This window comes from Homo sapiens, chromosome 15 (assembly GCF_000001405.40).
Source record: "Homo sapiens chromosome 15, GRCh38.p14 Primary Assembly".
In the NCBI taxonomy this organism is placed as follows: domain Eukaryota; kingdom Metazoa; phylum Chordata; class Mammalia; order Primates; family Hominidae; genus Homo; species Homo sapiens.
In genome coordinates, this window is record NC_000015.10 from 89770670 (window position 1) to 89797974 (window position 27305).

General features: G+C 49.5%; 2 protein-coding genes and 1 long non-coding RNA gene across 6 annotated transcripts in view, besides 6 other annotated features; 1 reads left to right on the top strand and 2 right to left on the bottom strand.

Moving 5' to 3' along the window:
* LOC124903550 (uncharacterized) lies at window positions 1425–5940 on the bottom strand. Of its 2 annotated transcripts, none has more exons than XR_007064751.1 (2): window positions 5621–5940; window positions 1425–4382 (listed from the first exon to the last, which is right to left on the bottom strand). It is a non-coding gene; the product is annotated as an uncharacterized LOC124903550 (long non-coding RNA). The 2 variants fall into 2 exon arrangements; XR_007064752.1 differs by having other exon boundaries at window positions 5375–5905.
* On the top strand, window positions 5663–8085 carry MESP2 (mesoderm posterior bHLH transcription factor 2). The gene is made up of 2 exons (NM_001039958.2): window positions 5663–6612; window positions 7396–8085. Exons 1-2 carry the CDS (start codon window positions 5689–5691, stop codon window positions 7663–7665), a joined length of 1194 nt encoding a protein of 397 aa, NP_001035047.1. The 5' UTR covers window positions 5663–5688; the 3' UTR covers window positions 7666–8085.
* Window positions 5927–6086: a silencer, noted in NCBI's record as "silent region_6806". NCBI's record gives its function as "represses an Ori minimal core promoter by ATAC-STARR-seq in GM12878 lymphoblastoid cells {active_cell/tissue: GM12878}" and the evidence as "EXISTENCE:reporter gene assay evidence [ECO:0000049][PMID:35858748]".
* Window positions 11269–11328: an enhancer, noted in NCBI's record as "active region_10055". NCBI's record gives its function as "activates an Ori minimal core promoter by ATAC-STARR-seq in GM12878 lymphoblastoid cells {active_cell/tissue: GM12878}" and the evidence as "EXISTENCE:reporter gene assay evidence [ECO:0000049][PMID:35858748]".
* Window positions 12393–13055: an enhancer, noted in NCBI's record as "NANOG-H3K4me1 hESC enhancer chr15:90326293-90326955 (GRCh37/hg19 assembly coordinates)". NCBI's record gives its function as "activates a minimal SCP1, AML or CMV promoter by ChIP-STARR-seq in primed H9 embryonic stem cells {active_cell/tissue: H9 hESC(primed)}" and the evidence as "EXISTENCE:reporter gene assay evidence [ECO:0000049][PMID:30033119]".
* Window positions 13056–13717: an enhancer, noted in NCBI's record as "NANOG-H3K4me1 hESC enhancer chr15:90326956-90327617 (GRCh37/hg19 assembly coordinates)". NCBI's record gives its function as "activates a minimal SCP1, AML or CMV promoter by ChIP-STARR-seq in primed H9 embryonic stem cells {active_cell/tissue: H9 hESC(primed)}" and the evidence as "EXISTENCE:reporter gene assay evidence [ECO:0000049][PMID:30033119]".
* Window positions 13718–14380: an enhancer, noted in NCBI's record as "H3K4me1 hESC enhancer chr15:90327618-90328280 (GRCh37/hg19 assembly coordinates)". NCBI's record gives its function as "activates a minimal SCP1, AML or CMV promoter by ChIP-STARR-seq in primed H9 embryonic stem cells {active_cell/tissue: H9 hESC(primed)}" and the evidence as "EXISTENCE:reporter gene assay evidence [ECO:0000049][PMID:30033119]".
* Window positions 14226–27305, bottom strand: part of ANPEP (alanyl aminopeptidase, membrane) — a 29958-nt gene continuing 16878 nt past the window's right edge. For all 3 annotated transcript variants that reach the window (NM_001150.3, NM_001381923.1, NM_001381924.1), the window contains 7 exons: window positions 26906–27053; window positions 22366–22457; window positions 21783–21893; window positions 21491–21658; window positions 20284–20424; window positions 19791–19872; window positions 14226–14832 (listed from right to left, as the gene is read on the bottom strand). In NM_001150.3, coding sequence (NP_001141.2) covers window positions 14680–14832; window positions 19791–19872; window positions 20284–20424; window positions 21491–21658; window positions 21783–21893; window positions 22366–22457; window positions 26906–27053 — 895 coding nt within the window. In that variant the 3' untranslated portion in view covers window positions 14226–14679. The remainder of the gene's footprint in view (window positions 14833–19790; window positions 19873–20283; window positions 20425–21490; window positions 21659–21782; window positions 21894–22365; window positions 22458–26905; window positions 27054–27305) is intronic.
* Window positions 21618–22118: an enhancer, noted in NCBI's record as "H3K4me1 hESC enhancer chr15:90335518-90336018 (GRCh37/hg19 assembly coordinates)". NCBI's record gives its function as "activates a minimal SCP1, AML or CMV promoter by ChIP-STARR-seq in primed H9 embryonic stem cells {active_cell/tissue: H9 hESC(primed)}" and the evidence as "EXISTENCE:reporter gene assay evidence [ECO:0000049][PMID:30033119]".

Below are 27305 nucleotides of genomic sequence, written 5' to 3' on the forward strand. Positions count from 1 at the left end.
GGCCCAGGGCCCCACCTTCCAGAACTTACACTGTAAAACCCACAGTCAGCCTAGGGTCTAGGCTCCAGGCTAGCTCAAACCAAGGTAGAAGGAGACCAGGCAATCTCCGAGAGGAAAGGATGTATGTACCATGTGCAGGGCTCTGTGCCTGTGGTGGAATCCCATTATATACCAAATCCCTCCACAAGAAATCCCTCAGGCTGGCTCTAAGGAGGTTGGGGGGAAATAATTCTGGATATTCAGAAGCTTCCTGGAGATCACAAGACCATCCACCACTGTATTCCTAGCTGTTTATGCACAAAGCAGCACTGCTGGGCAAAAACTAAAAATACAATAAAGGTGCATCAGTAAGTGGCTGTGCATGCCATGGACTACCATATAGCAGTTAAAAGGCATGAGTCATGCCTGTAATCCCAGCACTTTGGGAGGCCAAGGCAGGCAGATTGCATGAGGTCAGGAGTTCGAGTCCAGCCTGGCCAACATGGTGAAACCCTGTCTCTACTAAAAATACAAAAATTAGCCGGGCACGGTGGCACATGCCTGTAGTCCCAGCTACTTGGAAGGCTGAGGCACAAGAATCGCTTGAACCTGGGAGGCGGAGGTTATAGTGAGCTGAGATCACACCACTGTACTCCAGCCTGGACAAAACAGAGAGAGTGTCTCAAAAAATAAAAAAATAAACAAAAATAAAGGTGTGAGTCAGAAACATCAATAGAAGCCAGGCGTGGTGGCTCACACCTGTAAACCTAGCACTTTGGGAGGCCGAGGCAGGTGGATCACCTGAGGTCAGGAGTTCAAAACCAGCCTGGCCAACATGGTGAAACCCTGTCTCTACTAAAAATACAAAAAATTAGCCAGGTGTGGTGGCAGGCATCTGTAATCCCACGTATTTGGGAAGCTGAGGCAGGAGAAATCGCTTGAACCTAGGAGGCGGAGGTTGCAGTGCGCTGAGATCATGCCATTGCACTCCAGCCTGGGCAACAAGAGCGAAACTTCATCTCAAAAAAAATAAATAAATAATAAAGAAACACCAATAGAAACAGCACCTGCTCTATCTGAAATGCAGCACCTAGATCAAGACATATCTATGAAGCCTGATGAATTTTGTTTATAACTGTTGAATGGATACATGCAAGTTCCCTGATAGACAGTATGTCAAGAGCTTTATAGTGTTGTGTGGCCTCGGACCAATAAATGATGTACCTACACTACATGTGCCATTATTTCAACCCAAAAAGTCTAGGGGTGAATGTTTTACAAGTTGTCCCTTATTTCCCCTTAGGAAATAGTTGTTTTTTGTTGTTGTTTTTTTTAAATTTTGGTTTAAACCCTTTTAAGCCATGAAATGTTCCATAACTAACTGCTTCTCTCCAAAGAAAGCCTGTTTGAAATCTATCCCACCTTCTTTTCATGTTATGGACCAATTAAAATTTTCTCTTCTTTATTCATAGCAGCTAGAATAAACTAAACGATAGTTGTTTGCCCAGAGTTATTCAACACCAAGTGTTACTTCATCATAACGTTAGAGCAGTGACTTGGGCATATTTTCTCCGATATATTTCAAAATAAATTCTGAGGAGAAAAAGTGACATAATTTCATTATTGAAGGTGTATCCGTACCTTCTGCCATTTTACCTTTTTTCCAAAGTTAAAATTATTTACATGGGCTGCGTACAGTGACTCATACCTGTAATCCCAGCACTTTGGGAGGCCGAGGCGAATGGATTGCTTGAGCCCAGCAGTATGAGACCTGCCTAGGCAACATGGTGAAACTCTGTCTCTACAAAAAGTACAAATTTTAGCCGGAGTGATGGTGCACATCTGTAGTCCCAGCTACTCCGGAGGCTGAGGTGGGAAGATTACCTGAGCCCGGGAGGTGGTGGCTGCAGTGAGCGGTGACTGCCCCACTGCACTCCAGCCTGGGTGACAGAGTGAAACCCTGTCTAAAGAAAAAAATTATTTAAAGAGATAAACATTTAAAACATTTAGATCAACTATAACCAAGGTTTTGGTTAAATCTGTATTCGCAGGCAGTACTTTTTTTTTTTTTTTTTTTTTGAGACAGGGTGTTGCTCTGTGGCCAGACTGGAGCACAGTGGTACGATCATAGCTCACTGCAACCTCAAACTCCTGGGTTCAGGGGATCCTCCTGCCTCAGCCTCCCAAGTAGCTGGGACTACAGGGCCCACCCCACCATGCCTGGCTAATTTTTTTTTTTCTTAGATGCGGGGTCTGACTATGTTGCCCAGGCTGGTCTTGAACTCCTGGGCTCAAGCCAACCTCTCACCTCAGCCTTCCAAAGTGCTGGGATTATCCCCACTAAAAATTTGATCCATTATTTTTTTAAAGGGTGAGTCAGCAAAATATGTCCTGACATGGAATGCTCTGAAACATGCTGTTGAATGAAAAAAAAAAAAAAGAAAAAGAAAAAGAAAAGAAGAAAAACAAATTACAAGCTGACATTTACACATAACAATGTACATAATGTAACTGGAGGGTTACTGTGTGTTTGCTAAGGATACACGTTTATGTTAACCCACTGGCCAGGTCTGGAACTACACACACAGCCTAATAACAGCTGTTACCTTTTGGGGGTTTATGGGGTTGGTTAAAGAGACTCCAACTTTATCTGTAATGTTTCCATTTCTCACAGTGAAAGGTAGTAGTTACATAATTTGTGTAATTAAAAGTTAATTTTTGAAAATAGCCACGCCCTCCCTCAAAAAAAAAGAAAGAAACAAAAAAAAAGATTAGCCAGTCATAGTGGTATGCGCCTGTAGTCCCAGCTACTTGAGAGGCTGAGGCAGGAGGATCACTTGAACACAGTTTTAGGGTACAGTGAGCCAAGATTGCATCACTGCACTCCAGCCTGGGCAACAGAGTGAGACCCTGTCTCTAAAATTAAAATAAATGAAGCCTGGGCACAGTGGCTCACGCCTGTAATAACAGCATTTTGGGAGGCTGAGGCAGGCGATCACTTGAGGCCAGGAGTTCGAGACCAGCCTAGCCAACATGGCGAAACCCCATCTCTACTAAAAATACAAAAATTAGCCAGGCATGGTGGCGTGCACCTGTGGTCCCAGCTACTCAGGAGGCTGAAGCAGGAGGATTCCTTGAGCCTGGGAGGCGGAGGTTGCAGTGAGCTGTCACTGCACTCCAACCTGGGCGACAGACCCTGTCTCAAAAATAAAACAAATAATAAAATAAAATAAAATAAAATAAAATCAGCCACAAAAATATTACAAGGCAGCTGGGCCTGGTGGCTCATGCCTGTAATCCCAGCACTTTGGGAGGCTGAGGAGGGCAAATCACTTGAGCCCAGGAGTTCAAGACCAGCCTGGGTAAAACCCAACTCCACAAAAAATGATAATAATGATTAAATAATTACGAAGCCATTTGCTACTTCAGGCTGCTGCAGGTTAATCTCTTCTTGAACACCATTGTCATGTTGATCTTTAGTTAGTTATTAGCTAATGATTTTTAAAATTGTATCACCCTTCCGCTCAAAAGTCCCTATGGCTCCCAAAACCAACTCCTTAACCTGGCCCCAGCCCAGGTGTGCTCTGGCCTTCCACATCACCACCCCAGTGCCCTGCTCCTAAGGCATCTTGGAAGGTCCCAAGGCCAGGTCTTTGCTTATGCAGTTCCCATCCGGAAAGCACGGCACCTGCCTCTCTCCCTACTCAAATCCTACGCATGGTTCAAGGCCCAGCTATGACTTCTTCACCTCTGTGGCCAGAACCCTAATGTCCCTGGTCTTCTTTTGACTCTTAGCCTCAGGACTCAGCCCTTTCCCCAAGACCACACAGGACATTGACAATCTCCTTTAAACTGTAATTGTTGCTGAGAATATCATTTACTTTATAAATTTTACTATCTCAACTATCCCTTACACAATCCCATGTAGATACTATCATTATTCCTGTTTTACTGAGCAGAAGCTCAAGCTCAAACAGGTTAAGGGCTCTGCCTAAGGGCATACAGCTACTGTCATACAATGGCCTGTTCACTTTTCTTTCCCACAAGACTGAAATCTCATTAGAGCAGAGACCATGACTAGCTCATTCACCCTGTGTGCTCGACATTTACTGGTTGCTAAATATGAATTCGGCCAGGCGCAGTGGCTGACGCCTATAATCCCAGCACTTTGGGAGGCCAAGGCGGGTGGATCACTGGAGGTCAGGAGTTTAAGACCAGCCTGGCTAACATGGCAAAAACCAGTCTCTACTAAAAATACAACAATTAGCCAGACGTGATGGTGCATACCTGTAGTCCCACCTACTTGAGAGGCTGAGGCAGAAGAATCACTTGAACCCAGGAGGCAGAGGTTGCGGTGAGCTGAGATGGTGCCACTGCACTCCAGCCTGGACGATAGACCAAGTCTGTTTCAAAAACAAAAAAAAGAGAATAAATAAATAAATATGAATTAAATGAATAAAGTCCATTAGTGCCTTGAAATCTAAGTACTTTCCTTTTATTTTATTTATTTATTTATTTATTTACTTATTTATTTATTTTTGAGACGGAGTCTCGCACTCGCCCAGGCTGGAGTGCAGTGGCACGATCTCAGCTCACTGCAACCTCCGCCTCCCGGGTTCAAGCGATTCTCCTGCCTCAGCCTCCCGAGTAGCTGGGATTACAGGTGCCTGCCACCACACTCGGCTGGTTTTTGTATTTTTAGTAGAGACAGGGTTTCAGCATGTTGGCCAGGCTGGTCTCGAACTTATGACCTCAGGTGATCCATCCACCTCGGCCTCCCAAAGTGCTGGGATTACAGGCATCAGCCACCATGCCTGGCCAGTACCTTCTTTATAAAACGATCATGGCAAACCTTCAGCTCACTTGCCAGGGCCTAAGTGCTTTACAGGGATCGCTGTACTTAGTCCAGGAACCATCCTAGGCATAGGTATTTTGTATCACTATTGGTACCGATGAGGGAATCTGAGGCTCAGAGGAGCTAAATAACTTAACCAAGGTCACAGCCAATAAAGAGGCCGGCTTGGGGACCCATTTTCGCCGGTTTTCATCACCTAGGGTACCCAACTCCTCTTCCCCAACCTAATCTATTCCATTTCTCAAGAGTAGATACAGACCATGGGCAGTGAGATGCCTTTCTTGGTGTGTCACTCAACAAATCAGAAACTGTGGATTTTGGGGACCCCAGAAGGGCCCACCTGCACTTCTTCCTCAGCCACCATGGGCAGGGCCCTCCGGGCTTGTCTTGATGCCTTATTTAATACAACAGTAGGCACAGCGTCCTGGGCACAGACCTCCGGGAGGTTAGTGATGAGAGAGGCACCCACTCCTCACGGGGTCCCTGAGGCACCCACAGACCATGGCACTACCCGCCTCTGTTGGGCTCCCGGGCACTCACCGTGAGCAGTGGACGGGGCAGGGGCGTGGGTGGGAGCGTGGTGAGAAGCTTAGCAGCTCCATCCAGATGCGAATTGTCCCTCCCATACTTCCCGGGCTGCAGGGGCCTCCATTTAGAGCCCCCAAGGAGTCAGAATCCACACCTCCGCAAATGGGCCCGCTTTCCCAGGGGCCCCCTGCCCAGACTTTCCCTGGGCTCTGTGGGTTTTGACACCTCTCTGCAACCTGGCGGGGGGCCACCTCGCACCTTTGGTCAACATAAAAGCTCAGGCCTGGAGGTGGCCAACCCAGCCTCCCAGAGCCTGCAGCCCGGCCATGGCCCAGTCGCCTCCTCCGCAGAGCCTCCTCGGCCACGACCACTGGATCTTCGCCCAGGGCTGGGGCTGGGCCGGCCACTGGGACTCCACGTCCCCGGCCTCCTCCTCCGATTCGTCGGGTTCGTGCCCCTGCGACGGCGCCCGCGGACTCCCGCAGCCACAGCCTCCGAGCTGCAGCTCCCGAGCCGCAGAGGCAGCCGCGACGACGCCCAGACGAGCGCGCACCGGACCAGCGGGCGGACAGCGGCAGAGCGCCAGCGAGCGGGAGAAACTGCGCATGCGCACGCTGGCCCGCGCCCTGCACGAGTTGCGCCGCTTTCTGCCTCCCTCCTTGGCGCCGGCCGGCCAGAGCCTGACCAAGATCGAGACGCTGCGCCTGGCCATCCGCTACATCGGCCACCTATCGGCCGTGCTGGGTCTCAGCGAGGAGAGTCTGCAGTGCCGGCGCAGGCAGCGCGGGGACGCGGGGTCCCCTTGGGGCTGCCCGCTGTGCCCCGACCGTGGCCCCGCAGAGGCGCAGACGCAGGCGGAGGGGCAGGGGCAAGGGCAGGGGCAGGGGCAGGGGCAAGGGCAGGGGCAAGGACAGGGGCAAGGACAGGGGCAAGGGCAGGGGCGCAGGCCGGGCCTGGTCTCCGCCGTCCTCGCCGAGGCGTCCTGGGGATCCCCGTCCGCCTGCCCCGGAGCCCAAGCCGCACCCGAGCGCCTGGGGAGGGGGGTCCACGACACGGATCCCTGGGCAACACCCCCTTACTGCCCCAAGATACAGTCGCCCCCGTATTCGTCCCAAGGGACAACCTCCGACGCGTCTCTTTGGACGCCACCCCAAGGCTGTCCCTGGACGCAGTCGTCCCCAGAGCCCCGGAACCCACCAGTGCCCTGGACGGCGGCCCCAGCAACTTTGGAGCTGGCCGCAGTGTACCAGGTATGTGTGGAGGCCCTTGCTGTGTTCCCCAGCCTCCAGTCTGCAGAGAATCTCGTACTTTTTCGATCCCAGCTTATCTACTCCAGGATTATCTAACGGAGGGGAGAATGGAAGGAACCCCCGGCTCCGTGGGAGAAGAGATGGGACCCTGGGAAGTTAAGGCCATCTCCACAGTCACCACAAGCAGTCTTCACAGCCATGGGAAAGAGGGGGAGCCCGCCGACTTTCTCAGAGGGTGGAAAGTAGCAGGGTGGGCGTGCTGGCTTCAAGTGCTATTAAGACTGCAGTGGGGGAAGGAAGTCCCAGGGTAAGGGCAGCATTTCCTGAGTAGATGGGCCTAGAGCTGGTGATTTCAAGTTTTCTTCAAGATTCGTTCATTCATGAGGCTCATGAATGACTCATCGTCCATAAAAAATCATATTAACCAAAATTTGTTGAACACTTTCTATGTGCCCATCATCATTCTTGGCACCTTACATGTATTATTCAGCCCCAGTAATGACCCTAGGAAGTAGGTATTATCAGCATCTCTATTTTACAGGTGAGAAAACTGAGACTAAAAGAAGCTACCTGAGTTCTCATTACTAGTGAGTAGCAGAACTGGGATTTAAGCCTTAGCAGAGTGTCTCCCGAGCCAGTCCTCTTAACCACTTGGCTTTGCTGCATTCATGGCACCAGGGCTGTCCGGATGCTGCCAGCCATACCATGGCAACCAGCCAGATTCAAGATCTCTGGATATCAGGGAGTAGCCCACTAACCAGGCTGCTCTCATCTCTCTTGCAGGGTCTCTCTGTGTCTCCAGAGCCCTGTCTGTCGCTGGGAGCTCCATCTCTCCTGCCCCACCCATCATGCCAGAGACTGCAGCCTCAGACCCCCGGGAGGTGCTGGAGCCACAGTGCAGAGGTGGTGCCCAACTCAGAGGACCAGGGACCGGGCGCCGCCTTCCAGCTCAGTGAAGCAAGCCCTCCCCAGAGCTCAGGCCTGCGGTTCAGTGGCTGCCCTGAACTTTGGCAAGAAGATCTGGAGGGGGCCCGCCTGGGCATCTTCTACTAAATGGCCTCGGCTTCCCTCTTTCCATCCAGGAATCAGTCCTGTAGCTTGGGTGCCTCCTTATTTGTTAATTAGTGGCTTTTCATGTTCTCCTTTAGCCAAGGCTCCCTTTTTCCAAGTGATGTCTTTCAGGGAAGCAGTGTTTGAAATAGATAGCGGGTACCTTCCCTGGATGGAGTCAGGGCGGGGGCACTGTCCTCCACTGCTAGACACCCCCAGAATGCCTGGCGCTCTGCAGAGCACAGTCTGAGCTGCTCTAAGAAGGGGTCTCCTTTACCCTAAAGGCAGCTGGGCAGGGACAGGTGGGAGAATGGGTGTAGGAGGCAGGCCCCAGGCTCTGCTTCTTGGTGACAGTTGGCCAGAGCCCTGTATGCTTTGATTTTTTTGTACTTAAAAAGAAAAAACACACACACACAACAAAAATTTGGTTTGGCCTTGTTTTTTGTTCATCAACCTGGGTTTTTCTTGCCTCTGGAAAAGGAAACATGTTTTCCTTCTGTGGGGAACAAGTTCTGCTGCTCTTTCCTTCTCTAATCCAGGCCTGCCAAGGTTTGGGTGGGCCCTCATTTGTCAGTTTGACCATATTTATTGCACTGGAGCTCCAGGGCCAAAAGCTCCACCTGGCTTGCTGTGCAAGGTAGCACAGGTGGGCTAAGCTTGGGCCTGCCCACTTGCCTCAGCCACATCACCACTGCCCTTTTGTGTTCTTCGGGTGCATTCCTGGTGACTGCTGGGGTGGGTGCATGCAGCTGTGGACAGACAGACAGGAGCCCCAAATGGGGAGACCACAGTCCCAGAGACCTGTCATTTAGGGCTCTTTCACAATGACATGAAATTTTCTTCAAAGAATACTGGGAGTGGTTCCTACGTGCTAGGCCCAGTGTATTAGTTTGCGAGGGCTGCCATACTAGAATGCCACGGGCTGAGTGCAGTGGCTTACGCCTGTAATCCCAGCACTTTGAGAGGCTGAGGTGGGAGGATCCCTTGAGGCCAGGAATTCGAGACCAGCCTGGGCAACATAGCAAGACCTTGTCCCTACAAAAAACTTAAAAAAACAACAACCACAGACTGGGTGGCTTAAACAACAGAAATTTATTTTCTCACAATTCTGGAGGCTAGAAGTCCAAGATCAAGGTGTAGGCAGGTTCAGTTTCTTCTGGGGCCTCTCTCTGTGGCTTGCAGATGACTGCCTGTTCGTTGAGCCCCTACATGGTCACACATCTGTCTCTATTGTCTGTGTCCTGATTTCTTATAAGGGCACTAGTCATGTTGGATCAGGACCTACCCTAAGGGACCCATTTAACTGTATTTACTCTTTTAGGGATCTTTCTTCTAATACAGTCACAGTTACATTCCGAAGTATTGGATGTTAGGGCTTAAACATAAGAAACTTCTTTTTTTTTTTTTTTTTTGAGACAGAGTCTTGCTCTGTCGTCCAGGCTGGAGTGCAATGGTGCAATCTCGGCTCACTGCAACCTCTGCCTCCCGGGTTCAAGCGATTCTCCTGCCTCAGCCTCCTGAGTAGCTGGGATTACAGATGCCTGCCACCATGCCCGGCTAATTTTTGTATTTTCAGTAGAGACAGGGTTTCACCATGTTGGCCAGGCTGGTCTCGAACTCCTGACCTCAAGTGATCCACCTGCCTCGGCCTCCCAAAGTGCTGGGATTACAGGTGTGAGCCACCACACCCAGCCAAACATAGGAAATTTTTTTTTTCTTTTTTTTTGAGAGGGAGTCTCACTCTGTCGCCCAGGCTGGAGTGCAGTGGCATGATCTCAGCTCACTGCAACCTCTGCCTCCCAGGCTCAAGTGATTCTCCTGCCTCAGTTTCCCTAGTAGCTGGCCTAGGTGCCTGCCACCATGGCTGGCTACTTTTTGTACTTTTAGTAGAGACAGGGTTTCACCATGTTGGCCAGGCTGGTCTTGAACCCCTAACCTCCAATGGTCCACCCGCCAAGGCGTCCCAAAGTGCTGGGATTACAGGCGTGAGCCACCACGCCCAGCCAGACATAGGAATTTTATGGGAACACAGTTCAGCCGCCTCAGCCTCCCAAAGTGCTGCTATTACAGGCATGAGCCACTGCGCTCAGCCATACAGGAATTTTATGGGGACATAATTCAGCCCATAACACCATGTGTTAGGTGCCAGAGAGAAAATATTCCCCAACTAATGTGAATTACAGGGAAATAAATGATCAGAGCCCAGGTCCTAAACACAAGGATGGGGGTTTGTGTGAGGTGCTTAGGGACCAGGATGCGGTAACCTGGTGGGAGGCGAGGTTGGCAGTACCATCTCATTCTTGAGTTACCTGATTCCTTAGTCCTGCTGCCTTGATTGCGGTGTCTTAAGAGTAAGAGGCACTGCCAGGATCTTGGGAAAAGGATGCCAAGATCTATTAGCAAAGGCTCCCGTGGGCATGGGAGCCAGCAGTGGTGGTAACTTCCTTCTGTATCTGCTGACTCAGGGAGGAGAGAGTGCAGAAGAGGTGACCTTGGAGCTGGGTGTTGAAGGATATGCAGGAGTTTATCAAGAGGAGTGAGGGAAGAGAGGTCCAGGCAGGAGCAACAGCATGAGCCAAGTCGAAACAGAAGCGTCTAGTGTCTAGAGATGACAGAGAAAAGTGGCAAACAGAGCCGGAAAGGGGCTTGGAGGCAAGTTTGTGGGGAGTTCCACGTGGTGGGTGATGAGGTTTTGGCCTCCGTTTCCCGAATGATGGGCAGCACTGAGGGTTGGGAGTTGGGGGTGAGCTGGTAAGAAGTCTGCTCTCAGTCCCTTCGGCCGCTTCATAGAAATGGAACCAGGCAGGAGGCCACTGCAACAGTCCAGCTTGAGAGAAAGGGAGAGGCAGCACAGAGCATGAGCTGCCTGATTTCCTGGGCTTGAGCTCTTGGCGTGTGGGGCTTTCCCCTCTCATCCTGCAAGGTTGCCCGTTGCCTCTGACACGCCCTGTGGCATCAGGCAAGTCACTCTTTCTGAGCTTCAGTTTTCACAGTTCCTAAAGGAGGAACTATCTTGGGTGGTGCTGAGGTACCTTCTTCCTCTAACCTTCCAGAAGTGCTCTGGTTCTGCCCTTAGGGCCCTGCTGTCCCGAGGGGCTGTCAGCCACAGCTGGAAGGATGAGAAAAATCCAGGCAAGGTTAGAGTAGACACACAGCATTGGGGCCCAGGTTGCGCATTCTACTCGGCTCTTACTTGCTGTGTAACCAAGTGAGACTGACAGATAAGCTTTGGAACCTCCCTGAGCCTCAGTTTCTTCAACTGTGAAGTGGAGACAATAATAGACCTACCTCTCAGGGTTTTAATACTTGGCACATAGTAAGTGCTCAATAAAATGAGTACTGAGGCCAGGCATGGTGGCTCACGCCTGTAATCCCAGCACTTTGGGATGCCAAGGTGGGGTGATCACTTGAGGTCAGGAATTTGAGACCAGCCCGGCCAGCATGGTGAAACCCCGTCTCTACTAAAAATACAAAAAATTAGCCTGGCGTGGTAGTGAGCGCCTGTAATCCCAGCTACTCAAGAGGCTGAGGCAGGAAAATCGCTTGAGCCCAGGAGGTGGAGGTTGCGGTGAGCGAGATCGTGCCACTGCAAGCCTAGGCGATAGAGTGAGACTCTGTCTCCAAAAAAAAAAAAAAACAAAACAAAAAAAGGAAAAAGAAAATGAAAGATTGCGTTAGCTATGCTGACTCCACAGTCTCGAAAGGCTGAGTCAGAGGAGCCACCAAGGCTGCTGCCTACAGAGCCTCAGCACCTTCCATTCCTGCTGGACTTGAGTGCTGAGGGCAGGCAAGAGCGCTGGGCAGGGAATCAGCCGCCAGAGTTCTAGTTGGTTCCTGCTCTTTGACCTTGACCAAGGCTCTGCAGGCATTCCTCTGGCTCTGTGTATCCTCACTGCATTCCAGGATCAGCCATGGAGGTCCTGATGAGTGCCAGCATTGTACACTGCCAGGTGGCATCGTCAGAGGTGTTTGAACCAGAGCGATTCCATCTTGAATAGGGGCTAGGCAAAATGAGGCTGAGACCTGCTGGGCTGCATTCCCAGGAGGTTAGGCATTCTTAGTCACAGGATGAGACAGGAGATCGGCATAAGATACAGGTCACAAAGACCTTGCTGATAAAACAGCATGCAGTAAAGAAACCAGCCAAAACCCGCCAAAACCAAGATGGTGACAAAAGTGACCTTTGGTCATCCTCACTGCTCATTATGCGCTGATTATAATACCTTAGCTGCTAACAGACACTCCCACCAGCGTATGACCGTTCACAAATGCCACAGCAATATGCAGAAGTTACCCTGTATGGTCTAAAAAAGGGAGAAACCCTCAGTTCTGGGAAATCCCCACTTCTTTCCCAAAAAACTCATGAATAATCCACCCCTTGTTTAGCATATAATCAAGAAATAAGGCTGGGCGCGGTGGCTCACGCCTATGATCCCAGCACTTTGAGAGGCTGAGGTGGGCGGATCTCCTGGGGTCGAGAAACCCCATCTCTAATAAAAATACAAAATTAGCCGGGCATGGTGGTGCATGCCTGTAATCCCAGCTACTTGGGAAGCTGAGGCAGGAGAATCGCTTGAACCCAGGAGGCGGAGGTTGTGGTGAGCCAAGATCGCACCATTGCACTCCAGCCTGGGCAACAAGAATGAAACTCCGTCTCAAAAAAAAAAGAAAAAAAAAATCAAGAAATAGCTCTTAAGTTTACTCAGTTGAGCAGCCCATGCTGCTGCCCTGCCTGTGTAGTAGCCATTCTTTGATTCCTTTCCTTTCTTAATAACTTGCTTTCATTTTATGGACTTGCCCTGAATTCTTTCTTGCATGGGCTCCAAGGATCGAGACCTCTTTCCAGTAACGGCACAAGCATGGCAGTATAGACGTCACGCACTCCACCCCAGCTCCAGATGGAGAACTGGCTTCCACTTCTGTGCAGGGAGTAAAGCCAGACAGTGGTTCCAGTTCAGTTCTACTGAGTTGTGACTTCATCTCCTTGCCCTGCAGTTTCCTTATCTGTAAAGCTGACATAAAGATATTCCTTATCTCATGGTACGGTTTAGAACTAAATGAAATAATGTGCATAAACTCTTCTCCCTGGCAGGCCAGCTCTCTCCTCTGCAATGTCCAGGGATCCTAGAGCCCATTAGAAACTCAAGATGGTGAGGCCGGCCCCTCCCACAGCTGGTCCCCAGAAGGTCAAGTGCCAGCCACGGCCGCTGGGTACTGGCGACAGGAAGGGTTGGCCCAAAGTGGCTGGCGGAGCTTAATCTGGGGCGGCCCAGGGAGCCTCCTGGCTGGTGGAGGGACAGAGCACCATCATCCGGGCTGGCCTCCGCCCTTAGCTCACCCTACTCTTTGATGTGCAGATGGTGGTGGGGGATGGGGGGCCTTCCTGGCCCCAGGCCTGCCTGCTTCTCACAAGGGGGAAGAGGGCCAAGGGTGATAATAAAACCCAGCTCTCCTTATGCGTCAGGCCATTTGCTAAGTACATGTATCTCCTTCAATCCACACACCAGCCCAACAGCTCTGACACTGCCTCGTTGTGCAGATGAGACCTAGGCTTGGGCATGTGGGTCCCTTGTCTAAGAAACTGAAACCAGACCTGCTGGACTCCATGATTCCAGCCTGCGGAGCTGGCTGTGGGTGTCTGTTGGAGGTGACTCCTAAGGACCCCTGTGGCTGTTCCCGCCTTCTCCCCCTCCTCTCAGCCTTGGATGTTCAACTGGGCCTTGCGGGGCAGAGGCTGAGGGGAGCCTGCCACAGTGGGGCTCCATTTGTCAAGAAATGCTCACCAGGGCCAATGTGTGCGTGGAGCTGCGCTGGTCCCAGGCCTTCTCAGAGTTGGCCCTGACCATCTTCTGCCCCAGGCGATGTGGAGGGCACAGCCCCCACTTTATGAGCCTGGCAAAGCTGTCCCCACCCCATGGTTTGCCTGCTCCTCAGCCCAGCCCATCCCTGTGTGCTGCTCTAGAAAACAACCTCTTTATGCATTGGTACCCACACCCCACTCCACCCTTCCACCACGGAAGACGGTGGGGCGTGCCCTTGGCCAGTGAAGGGTGGCACCAGGTATGGGACCCTGTGCTTGCTGCCTTCACTGCACAGACCTGTCCCGCATTGTCCCAGGTATCCCAGGTGTTCCCGTGGAGCAGGAAGAGGGGCACGGCCAGCACCCTGCACCCTTGCCTCATGTTAAGGAGGGTGCTTCCTGGAGAGCACTCCCTGCGCTCTGCCAGGGCCCCTCTCACCACTCACTGCGGGAGCACTGGGTCCACAGCTCCCCACCACCCAGCAGCTCCAGCTGCCATCAGAATAGGAATAAAAGGAGCCCTGCAAACCACCCAGCTAGCTCAGTCAATAGAGCATGAAAAGGAGCCCGGAGTCCTGCAGGCAGACATGGAGGCACAGGCGCAGGGCACCTGCAGGAAGGGCCGGCAGGCTGGGCACGTCTCCCCTCCTGTGCTCTGGGGTCCCAGACTCCACGGTGCTCCGCATGCACCCAGCTTCCCCCACCCGGCCTCCCCAGCTGCTGTATTGACCCACTCCTGCTTTAGTTTAGTAATGAGTCTCACTCATCTAGAAATCCTTTATTTACATTTTCTCTTAGAAAAAAATATACAGATCTGCTGCCCTGTTGATTCCTCAGATTTAGGGTCTTTAGGGAAAGGTGAAAGAGGGTACAGGGCGGCCCCCAGCAAGGCCGTTCATTGTCCATCGAGAGCTTCTGCTCATCTGGCCCTGGAGCTGGGCTTCCCTGAGATCAGCCCCAGGGCACTGGGCGACAGGTGCCATGCCAGGCCTAGGGCGGGGTTGGCATGAGGGGCAGGGGCTGGGAGGTGCTCAGGCAGCCTGGGTCATCAGGAACTAGACTGGCTCACAGGCAGAGAGAACGTGGGCTGGAGACTTTGTCCTTGAGGGGAGGACACTGGTGCCTCGGGCTCCAGGAATGGAGGCCCTGCACCAGCCGCTGGGATGGACACATGTGGGCACCTTGCATGGGGGCCGGGTGACTTCAAGGGCTGGGGACTATTTGCTGTTTTCTGTGAACCACTGGAGCACCACCTCCTTGTTCTCCTTCACCCACTTGATGTTGGCTTTCGTCTTCTCCAGGGCTTGCTCCAGGGCCCGGGTGCCTGAGCCGAAGCCTGTTTCCTCGTTGTCCTTCTTGAACTGCTCCAGCTGCCAGAAAAACAAAAGATTCTCAGTCCGGCTGGGTCCCTAACAGCCTTGAGGAGGAGCTCTCTCAGGCCTCTGGCTTTCCACTCCCACTTTAGAGTCCCCATGGATGGGACCACACCCTGTTCCAGGGATAGGCAGGACGTCCACCTTGCTCCCGGGCAAAGTCCTTGTGAACACAGAGGTTGCAAAATGACAATCCCAGGCAAAACCTGGCTCAGGGAGATTCTGGCCTTCAGGTGTAATATTTTATTATAATATCAATCCAATCAAGAGAGTAGAGAGGGGCTAATGAAGCAACCAGCCAAATCTAAAATGTGGAAATTTCTATACCACAAATGATCCAGTTGCTTCAGTAAATAAATGGGTTTAAAAAAAAAATACTCCTACAAATTAGAAGAGTTATCAGTCCTGGAGGTTCTAGCCAGGCAATCAGCCAAGAGAATGAAATGAAAGGAATCCAGAAAGGAAGAAGTAAAACTATGTGTATGACATGTTTGCATACATAAAAATTTTAAGGAATCCATTAAAAAATCTATTAGAACTAATGATTTCTGCAAGGTTGCAGGATACAAGAGCAATACACAAATATCAATTGTATTCCCATACATTAGCAATGAAAAACCTGAAAATGAAATTAAGAAAACAATTCCATTTACGATAGCATCAACAAGAATAAAATATTTAGGAATAAATTTGACAAAATAAGTGCAAGACTGGAATGCCAAAAACTACAAAACATTTTTGAAAGAAATTAAAGAACACCTAAGTAAAAAGAAAAAAGACCCAAATAAATCTGTGTCCATGGACTGGAAGATTTAGCATCATTAAGATGGCAATAGTCCCCATATTGCTCTAGAGATTCAATCCCATCAAAATTTTAACTACTTTTTTTTTTTTTTTTTTGCGGAAATTGATCAGTGATCCTAAAATGCATAAGAAATTGCAAGGGACCCAGAATAGCCAAAACAATATTGAAAAAGAACACAGTTGGCCAGCCTGGGCAAGATGGTGAAACCCTGTCTCTGCAGAAAAATACAGAACATTAGCCGGGCATGGTGGCATGTGCCTATAGTCCCAACTACTCAGGAGGTTGAGGTGGGGGGATCACCTGAGCCTGGGAAGTTGAGGCTGCAGTGAGCTGTGATCTCACCACTGTACTCCAGCCTGGGTGACAGAGTGAGACCCTTTCTCAAAAAAAAAAAAAGCAAATTGGAGGACTCACACTTCCCAATTTTAAAACTCACTACAAAACTATAGTAATCAGGACAGTATGGTACAGGCATAAGGATGCAAATATAGATGAATGAAATAGAATTGAGAATCCAAAAACAAACCCTTATATTTACCGTCAATTGATTTTCAACTAGGTTGCCAAGACCATTCAGTGGGAGAAGAACAGTCTTTTCAACAAATGGGACTTGGACAACCGGATATCCACATGCAAAAGGAATGAAGTTGGACCCCAACCTCATATCATATACAAATATTAAGTCAAAATAGATCAAATGCCTACGTTTGAGTGAAAACATAATAAAACTCTTTTTTTTTTTTTTTTTTTTTTTGAGGCAGAGTCTTGCTCTGTCATCCAGGCTAGAGTGCAGTGGTGCGATCTCAGCTCACTGCAAACTCCGCCTCCCGGGTTCAAGCAATTCTCCTGCCTCAGCCTCCCGAGTAGCTGGGATTACAGGCGCCCGCCACTGCATCCAGCTAATTTTCGTATTTTTTAGTAGGGACGGGGTTTCACCATCTTGGCCAGGCTGGTCTTGAACTCCTGACCTCATGATCCACCTGCCTTGGCCTCCCAAAGTGCTGGGATTACAGGCGTGAGCCGCCATGCCTGGCCAATAAAACTCTTAGAAAAAACATCGTCAGGTCTTTTGTGGGTTTGAAAAATTTTTTTGAAATAAAAAAATAGGTATAAATCTTCATGACCTTGGGTTAGACAATACTTTCTTAGATATGATACATAAAGTATAAGCAACCAAAGGGAAAAAAAACAGATAAATAGGATTTCATCAAGATTTAAAATTTTGGGTATCAAAAGACCTATTAAGTGAGTGAAAAGACAGTCCATAGAATGGGAGAAATACTTGCAAACCCTATCTCTGATTAAGGGTCTAATATTCAGAATATATAAAGAACTCTTACAATAAAAAGACAACCCAATTTTAAAATAGCAAAAGACTGGGCACAGTGGCACATGCCTGTAATCCAAGCTACTCAGAAGGCTGAAGTGGGAGGGTTGCTTGAGCCCAGGAATTTAAGGACAACCTAGGCAACATAGTAAGACCCTCTCTCGAAAAGAAAAATAGTCAGTTTTACCCATTTCTCCAAAGATACACAAATGTGTATAAGGCCAATAAGCACATGAAATATTCAACATCATGTCATTCATTACTCATTAGGGAGATATAACTGAAAACCATAATGATACCACTTCCTACCCACTAGATGACTATACTAAAAAAAGAGGGAAAGAGAGATAAGTGTAGACATGGAGCAATTAGAACCCTCATGTGATACACTGCTAATAGGAATGGACAATGGTACAGTTGCTTTGGAAAACATTTTGTCAGTTTCTCAAAAAGTTAAACACAGAGTAACCAAATGACCCAGCAATTCCGCTCCTAGGTGTATACCCAAGATAAATTAAAACATGTTTGTACAAAATTTGCACGTGAAGGTCCATGATATTCATCACAGCCAGAAGACTGAAACAACCCAAATGCCCATCAATGATGAGCTGAAAACAAAATGTGGTACATCCATGTAATGGACCATTATTCAGCCATAAAAAAGAATGATCCCTGCTACCGTATGCATGAATCTTGAAAACATTACACTAAGTGAAAGAAGGCAGACAGACACAAAAAGGCTGTGTGTATATGATTCCATTTTATGAAACATCCAGAATAGGTAATAAATCCATAGAGACAGAAAGTATATTAGTGGTTGCCAGGGGCTGAGGGGACCAGGTAGGAATAAGGAGTGACTGCTAATGAGTACAAGGTTTTTTTTTGGCGTAATAAAAATGTTCTGGAATTAGACAGTAGTGATGGTTGTACCACATGGTTTTTTTCTGTTTGTTTGTTTGGTTTGGTTTGGTTTTGGTTTTTTGAGACAGGGTCTTGCTCTGTCACCCAGGCTGGAATGCGGTGGCACCACCTCCGCTCACTGCAACCTCTGCCTTCCTGGTTCAAGCGATCCTCTCACCTCAGTCTCCTGAGTAGCTAGGACTACAGGTATGCACCACCATGCCCAGCTTATTTATTTATTTATTTATTTATTTATTTATTTATTTAGAGATGAGATCTTATGATATTGCCCAGGCTGGTCTCAAACTCCTGGGTTCAAGGGATCCTCCTGCGTTGGCCTCCCAAAGTGCTGGGATTACAGGCATGAAGCACCCCACCCACCCTACCTTGTTAGTTTACTGAAAACCACTTAAAATGGTGAGTTTGATGGTCCATGAATTATATATCAATTTTTTTTTTTTGAGACAGAGTCTCACTCTGTCGCCCAAGCTGGAGTGCAGTGGCACAATCTTGGTTCACTGCAACCTCCGCCTCCTGGATTCAGGCAATTATTCTGCCACAGCCTCCCGAGTAGCTGGGACTACAGGCACCCCCCACCACACCCAGCTAATTTTTGTATTTTTAGTAGAGACAGGGTTTCACCATGTTGGCCACGCTGGTCTGGAACTCCCGACCTCAGGTGATCCACCCACCTTAGCCTCCTAAAGTGCTGGGACTACAGGTGTGAGCCACCACGCCCAGCAAATTATATCTCAATTTTTAAAAAAGACAAACTAACTTAATCCAAGTTGACTTTGTCAAGCTTCTAATTCAAGCATATATATCAATTGTAAAAAGACCTTTTATAAACAACTTAGAAAATTTGAATATGCCTTGGGTATATGATAGTAAGAAGATAATCATTTTCCTGGGTTTGCTAAGGACAGTGTGATTATGTTTTAAGAATCCCTTTATTGCTGGGCGCAGTGGCTCACACCTGTAATCTCAGCACTTTGGGAGACCGAGGTGGGTGGATCACTTGAGGTCAGGAGTTCGAGACCAGCCTGGCCAACATGGTGAAACCTCGTCTCTACTAAAAATACAAAAATTAGCCGGGTGTGGGGGCGCATGCCTGTAATCCCAGCTACTCGGGAAGCTGAGGCAGGAGAATTGATTGAACCCCAGAGGCAGAGGTTGCAGTGAGCCGAGATCATACCACTGCACCACTCCAGCCTGCATGACAGAGCGAGACTCAGTCTCAAAAAAAAAAAAAAGCTGGACGCCGTGGCTCACGCCTGTAATCCCAGCACTTTGGGAGGCCGAGGCAGGCAGATCATGAGGTCAGGAGATCGAGACCATGGTGAAACCCCATCTCTACTAAAAATACAAAAAAATTAGCCAGGCGCGGTGGCGGGCACTTGTAGTCCCAGCTACTCAGGAAGCTGAGGCAGGAGAATGACGTGAACCCGGGAGGCGGAGCTTGCAGTGAGCCCAGATCGCACCACTGCACTCCAGCCTGGGTGACAGAGCAAGACTCCATCTCAAAAAAAAAATAAAAAATAAAAAAAATAAAAGAATGCGTTTATTTTTCATATGACTAAATTATTTAGAGGTAAAATTACATGATCAGTGATTTGCTTAAAAATTGCCCGCCCGGAAAAAGTACTGGCAAAATGTTGATAATTGTTGAACCTGGGTAACGGGTACATGGAGGTTCATTATACCACTCTTCCCTTTTGTGCCTATACAAAAATCCCAAGATGAATTTTTTAAATTGAATTATCAACATTTCCAAAGTCTGGCTACTCGGCTTCCTCTGTAAATGAGGAAGGCCTGGCGGCGTGGAGCCTGTGCTCCCTCAGGGCCACGTGGGAGAAGAATGGAGTGCCCCTTTGGCCTGGGAAGGAAGTAGGCAGAGCCCAGGTCTGGGGAATGACTTCTTACCTGCTGCAGCTCATACTCGGTGGAGAATCGTCGTGTCACTGCCTGGATGAGGTTGGAGAAGGAGAACGAGCCACCACCATAACTGCAGGGAGGGAGAGAGGTGAACTGTGAGGGAGGCCGGGAACTAAGGAGGCTCATCCTCACACCTACTGGGTAGGGAGCCATGATTATAGAGGAGATGAAATGACACGCCCTGGGAGACCCCACTAGGATGTGGGGGAGTCACAGCTTGAACACAGGTCTGACTGCCGAGTTCCTCACTCCCCTCTCTTCTGGAGAATACGCCCACACGCCACGTTTTCCTTCCAAATGGGAAAAGGGACGGCCCATACCCCAGCTTGTCTTTCCATTCCTGCCCCACCCTAGCCCCCAGGCTTGGCTGATTTTTGTCCACTTCTGGTTAGTGCCCCCGGCGTGTCTTACCCGCACAGGCCACCCCCCGGGGCCCCAGCCTCGGCGCTCGCTGTCCCTGACACCCATTCCACAGACTCACTCGTTAAAAAGCTTCTTCCAGTTGCTCTGGACAAAGTCCCAGACCAGACCTTGCCCAATGACGTTGTTGGTAATGCTGATGATGGTAGAGGTGGCGTCCTGCTTCCGGATTAAGTCCGGGTTCAGGGTGTAGCTCAGGTACCTAAGAGGGCCAGATGCTGTCTCAGCTACTGCTAATTCAGGTGACTCAGGAGAGAACTTGGACTGTCCCACGCACATCACCTATGCCTGCATCCTCTCAACATCCCCTCGGCCTGCCAGGGGCTGAGGGACCCCTTGGTCCTTCTTCCCTCTATAGATGGAAAACTGAGTCACCTAAGCAGGGTCACAGGGTCACTGGCTAAGCTAGTGTCATGCCTGACATAGAAATATTTGACAATGAATCAATGAAGGAAGGAGTCCTAGCGCCCCAAGCCCTGGCACCAGGTGGGTGGTCACTCCCGTCTTTGACACTGAGGGTGGCCCTTCTTTTCTTTTCTTTTCTTTTCTCTTTTCTTTTCTTTCGAGACGGAGTCTCACTCTGTCGCCCAGGCTGGAGTGCAGTGGAGCGATTTGGGCTTACTGTAACCTTCGCCTGCCAGGTTCAAGTGATTCTCCTGCCTCAGCCTCCCGGGTAGCTGGGATTACAGGCATGTGCCACCATGCCTATTTTTTTTTTTTTTTTGTATTTTTAGTATTTTTAGTAGAGACGGGGTTTCTCCATGTTGGCCAGGCTGGTCTCGAACTCCTGACCTCAGGTGATCCATCCACCTCAGTCTTCCAAAGTGCTGGGATTACAGGTATGAGCCACCACACCCTGCCCAAGGGTGGCTCTTCTTTACTGCATCCAGGTAATGGCATATGAGGCACATGGTGGGAGGTGGGGACCCTCATCCAAGGGCTTGAGGGGGTGCCCAGCTGGATGTTTGAAAAGACCCAGGTCCAGCTACACCAGAGCCTTTGACAGAAGGGAAGACGAGTTGTTGTCAGGTAAAGGCTAAGAGGCCACAGCAGCTAGGAACAGAGGACATGGACCCAGACCTGAGTCCATATCTTGTCTCTATCACTTATTAAAGCTTCCAGTCTGCACCGGTTACTTTGGAAATACTGCCTCCACCTCAACAGGTCTGTGGGGGTCACGTGAAGGATCTGGCGAGGAGTGTGGAGGCCTGCCTGGTTCTCCAGGTGGGGAGAGGGCTCTCGCAGTCCCACCCTGCGCCAAGACTCACCTGTTCAGGATCCACAACTCTTTGCTGCAGGCCAGGGCTGCCCGGAGCTTGTCAGCCTCATTGACCAGTGTGGCATTTCGGAACTGCTCCCAGGCGAAGTCCCACTCCTCCTCCCCGCCCTGGGCGATAGCGTTGCAGTAGACGGTGGACCGCAGGTTGGGGTGGATCCTGGTGTGGGGTAGGGAGGTCAGGTGTGGAACAGCAGCGGGGAGGGTGGGACAGGGTTCTGCTGAGGACGGGGCTGTTGGGGGCAGATGAAGACTGGCAGAGGAGGCGCAGGGGAGACACTCACGGGTTATTATTGGGGTTCTCCATCCACTGCTTGAAAAGGCCAGAGACCATCTCCTCACACTCTGGAACTCCGTTGGAGCAGGCGGTGCTGATGGCATTAACCTCGCTGTACCTGCCCCAGGGGTGACACGCGGTTAGCACACCTGGCGAACTCCAGCCAAGATTCACCTCTTGACACACAACCCCAGGCCGGCACCCTGCCTAAGGCTCTGTGGCCTAACTGGCCCTCTGACCCCCGCTGTATGTGCTTTGTGCCTTGGGCCTGAGGTTCCTTGGTCCCCAAAGCAGCCCTGTGACCCAGAAGGGCAGGAACAGGCTCCAGCCCCAGTTTCAACACCTAGAAACTGTATAACCTCAAGCCAGTGGGGTGAGCTAGAGTTTCAGTTTGGGTCTTTGTATAAAGAGGTCCGATGGGCCCTCAGGCCACATGGAGCCTCAGGGCAGGACCTCCCTGCTCCTGGGTGGGGGTCTCTCCCTGCCTGGTGCCCCCGCATTGAGAGCTGCGGCAGAGAACACTGCCAGGATGTTGCTCTTGACTCCCCGGGGTGCCCAGGACTTCCAAACCCATGAGAGCTCCCACTCACTGGTCCATCAGGTTTTCTGGGATCTCCCTCCAGTTGTTGGTATTATTTCTGAAGTGAATGAAGAGGGGTGTGACCTGCTTCTTCAGGTAGTTCTGGGGAAAAGAAAATATGAATCTCATCAAAGACTCATGCCTGACCTGCCTGGAGCCCCACAGAGCCTCTGATGTTGGGGGGCAGGCGCTGGCAGAGACGTCAGAGGTCAGGGCCTCACCTGAGGCCAAACAGTGCTCAAAGGGGCCCATAGAAGTCTAGAGTTCAAATAACTGAGCTGAGTTTCTTTCTGCTTAAAGCCTTAGTCAGTTGCAATATTCTTTGTCTACGGGTCACCATTTCTTAATATAAAATGTTGGGTTTTCCCTACACAATCATAAATATTCCATGAGTTGCTGGGCGCAGTGGCTCACACTTGTAATTCCAGCATTTTGAGAGGCTGAGGCGGGTGGATCCCCTGAGTCCAGGAGTTCGAGATCAGCCTGGGCAACATGGTGAAACCACGTCTCTACTAAAACCACAAAAAAATTAGCCGAGTGTGGTGGTGCACACCTGTATTCCCAGCTACTTGGGAGGCTGAGGCAGGAGAATCGCTTAAACCCGGGAGGCAGAGGTTACAGTGAGCTGTGATCACGCCACTGCACTCCAGCCTGGGTAACAGAGCGAGACTCCATCTCAAAAAAAAAAAAAAAAAAAAATTCCATGACTTATTGTAGGGAATTTGGGAAACACAGAGAAGTATATGCAGAAAATAAAACACACCCAGGAGCTCACCAAAACTACAGTTTCCACATTGATGCATTTACACCTTCTTTTTTCTATAGTTTTTTCTTTTTTACTTAGCATATTCTTCACATGGCATTTTTCTCCTAACATTGTAGTGTAAGCCCCACCCCATGCTAGTAAAATCCTTTGTGGACTCTGGTTTGACATGGCAGGTTGATTTCTGTGCCCACCTGGATCCACGTCCAAATGTAAAAGGAATAAACCCCCAATAACAAAGAACAGGAGAGGCAACAGCGGATGCAAGGTCAATATAGTTTAGGCAGCTGGGACGCGCAGAAAGGGAGATGTACCAGGCTTGGCAGAGTGGGAGAATTTGCAATTGAGAATCTGCAGAAGGGGAGACAGAAGCAAGGGAACTTGCTGTGACAAGACTCAGAATTAAAGGGACAAGGCCAGGTATGGGGGCACATGCCTGTAATCCCAGCACTTTGGGAGGCTGAGGCGGGCGGATCACCTGAGGTCAGGAGTTTGAGACCAGCCTGGCCAACGTGGTGAAACCCCGAAGCTACTAAAAATACAAAAATTAGCCAGGCATGGTGGCAGGCGCCTGTAATCCCAGCTACTCAGGAGGCTGAGGCAGGAGAATCGCTTGAATCTGGGAGGTGGAGGTTGAAGTGAGCCAAGATCGGGCCACTGCGCTCCAGCCTGGGTGACAGAGTGGGATTCTGTCTCAAAAATAAATAAATAAATAAAAATAAATAAAAAAATTAAAGGGACAAGTCAGCAAGGGACAGAGGGGAGGTAAGGACTGCAAACAGGAAGATGAAGTCAAAGTCTACAGAAGGAGTCATTCAACCCCCAAGTCCCCACTTCCCTCCTTGTAGAGGGCAGCACCCCTCACCACCCCATGAGAGAGATTGAACCAGGGGGCTCAGAAAGTGGGGTCACCAGACCACAGTGGGAGGGTTGCTGGATTGCAAAGAGGGTCAGAGGTGAAAGTTTCCATACTGAAAGGTGGCACCCCAGTTCCCTTCCCTCCTGTGTCCTAGAATGGGAGTACTACCAGCCTCATTGCACAATACAGAGGCTTACTCTCTGGAAAAACTGCCTTGTCTCGAGAGAACAAACCCATGGACTAATTTTTGAGGGTCCCCAGTGAAGAGTTACTTGGCCACCCAGTCACCTCGCAATGAGATCCCCCGGACAACACACTCCACCTTCCCATGGAGCTTCCACTTGCATTTTGTTTGTGTCTGTCTCAAACCCAAAGGGGTGGCTCAGCCTCCAACTTGAAAAGAGGCCAAAACAAACACAAAACTCAAGAGGAAACGAGTCAATGGAAAAAAAAAAAAAAAGGAAAACTTCATAAGAGCCTGTAATAAATATCCTCTGAGAGTGAAGAGAAGATATTGCATAGGATGCTGGAATCAGAAAGAACACTTGGAAATTTAAAAATACGACAGAAGAAATGAAAACAATTTCTAGGTGAGGTGGTGTGCAAAGCTGAGGGAACCTCCCAGGGGGCAGAATAAAAAGTCAACAAGCTGGAAAACAGAAGAGAAAAAGAAAACTAGAGGATGAAAGCAAGAGAAATAAGCTGGATTACAGGGGTTCCAGAAAGAGATAACTGGAAAAAGTGAAGGGAATAAAGTTTAAAGAAGCAATACAAAATCTTCCAATACTAGATGATGTGAATGCCAGTCCTGATTGGAAAAGGTAGATGGAGACGAGGCCCAAACCAAGGCCCACCAGGACCGAGAGAAGCTCCCAAAGTTTCCAGAAGGGAGGAAAACTGGTCACATTCAAATAACTGGAAATAAGAATGGCTCTGGGCATCGCATCAGCAACATGGCAAGCCTGACATCAGTGGAGCAAGACCTTAAACATTCAGAGAAATAATTTCCCACCTTGAAACTTCTAAACTCAGCTGAACGCTCAATCCAGTGTGAGAGTGGAATAAAGACATTTCAGATGATCTACCCCAGAAAAGTCACCTCTCATGAACCCTTTCTCAAAAACTCCTGGAAGATGTATTCCCCTATGAGAGGGGAAAAAATCAAAGAATCCATGGGATGCAGGAAACACAGTAGAGGGAGGCACCTCCAAGCATGGGAGCTGTGTGGCAGCTCTGGAAGAGAGCAGGCAGAATAGGACTCCAGGAGGAGTCCAGTCTCAAAACTGGGCTGGGCACAGTGGCTCACGCCTATAATCATAACACTTTGGGAGGCCAAGGAGGGAGGATTGCTTGAAGCCAGGTGTTCCAGACCATCCTGGCCAATACAGAAAGATCCCATCTCTACAAAAGATGCATCTCTACAAAAGAGCATGGTGGTGCACATCTGAGGTCCCAGCTAATGGAGAGACTGAGGCAGGAGGATCCCTTGAGCCTAGGTATTTGAGGCTGCAGTGAAGCTTGATTGCACCACTGCACTCCAGCTTGGGCAAGAGAGTGAGACCTTGTCTCTAAACAAACAAACAAAAACTTGACCTATTGTGTGATACATTTGTAACTGTGTACAAAAAAGGAAACATAAACATAGTGCTCTACATGGCTCAGCAGAGAATACTATTTAGATAATCACAATAAAGCAAATGCTTAACACTGATTTGACTAAATATTATGATTTAACTACATTAGGAGGATGGGGAATGTGGGGAAAGCAGTAAGAGGGTTGAAACTTCATTTACCAAAATCTCTCATTTACCATAATGGATATTAACAGATAATTGAACTTTTTTTTTTTCTTTTTTTTTGAGATGGAGTCTTGCTCTGTTGCCCAGGCTGGAGTGCAGTAGCACCATCTTGGCTCACTGCAAGCTCCACCTCCCAGGTTCATGCCATTCTCCTGCCTCAGCCTCCCGAGTAGCTGGGACTACAGGTGCCCGCCACCACGCCTGGCTAATTTTTTGTATTTTTTTTTTTTTAGTAGAGACGAGGTTTCACCGTGTTAGCCAGGATGGTCTCGATCTGCTGACCTCGTGATCCGCCTGCCTCGGCCTCCCAAAGTGCTGGGATTACAGGCATGAGCCCCACTGCACCCGGCCTGATAATTGAACATTTTTTAATGAAAAAAGATCTCTTCAAGCATGATTTAATGACTACATATCACACCCTGAAATGGATATTCTACAGTTTAACCAATCTTCAACCTTTAGACGTTTAAGTATTTGTGTTTTGTTTGCTTTTTGTCTTTTATAAACTGCTGCAGTGAGCATCCTATGGATGTAGCTTATTCATCCAGAATAAGCTCGAGTTTCCTTTTGGTCTCCCAAGCGGGAGCCTCAGCCCTCAAATAGGCCCCTATGCTCAGCCTTAAGATACTCCAAAGCAGCCAATACCCACATCTCTCTCATAGCGCAGGTGGGCTGGCCGGGCAGGTAGAGGCCTGCCCATCTGACAGAGAAGTTAACTGGGTCTGAGAAAGGGTTGCCCAAGGCCACACAGCTGGCAAAAGACAGGTCTTCTGGCCCTCAGCATGGTGGCCTTTTCTGTGCCTTCTGAAAGCGTTAATTCCCCATATTTCAAATCAACAAACGTTGCTGAAGTCTCCGCGACCTTTATTGTTTTGCCCCACGCAGCCTCCTCACTCACCTCCTCAGTGCCTGCTCACTCACCTCCATGTCCCTCCGGCTCGCTCTTTCACCTGCGTGCTCTCAGGAGAGAACCTGACAAGGCAATCTTTCTTTTTTTTTGGTTTTTTGTTTTGCTTTTGAAGGTTCCCTGACCAGGAGTCCAGTAGGCAATAGTCTATTAACTTCCTAATAGTGCACTTTCAGGCACTGGGGCGAACTGGTTCTTGAACCCTACCATGCACCTCCGTACCTTCATGGGGCCATAGACCTCGGAGCGGTCAAACATGAGCTTGAAGTAGCTCAGGCTGCTCAGGGCGGCCTCCCAGGGCATGTACTGTCTCTCTTCAATCAGGAAGAGGGTGTTGTTCAGCGCCAGAGTGACAGGGACCTTATGGGCACTGGGAATAAACAGAGGGGCCCAAGTAAAGCACCTCCACCCAGCCCAGCCACAGCCTGGGAACCCCAACCCAGGCCCTCAAAGATGCTCCACACCCCTAGGCCCCCTGTATCCACTCCTGGAGCCGGAGGTCCCAGATTCCCAACTGAGCCAGCTCAGGCATTTGCCATGGAAAAAGAGCTACATGGCTGCTGGGTGGTGCCACAAACAAGGCCCCACCCTCACCCATTGGCAGTTCCACTCCTTTGCTTAT

Excerpts from the sequence above, each read along its gene's own strand:
- MESP2 (NM_001039958.2), top strand. The coding sequence starts at position 5,689 with ATGGCCCAGTCGCCTCCTCCGCAGAGCCTCCTCGGCCACGACCACTGG. Across the intron at positions 6,613-7,395 it reads AGCTGGCCGCAGTGTACCAG|GGTCTCTCTGTGTCTCCAGA; the intron begins GTATGTGTGGAG and ends TCTCTCTTGCAG.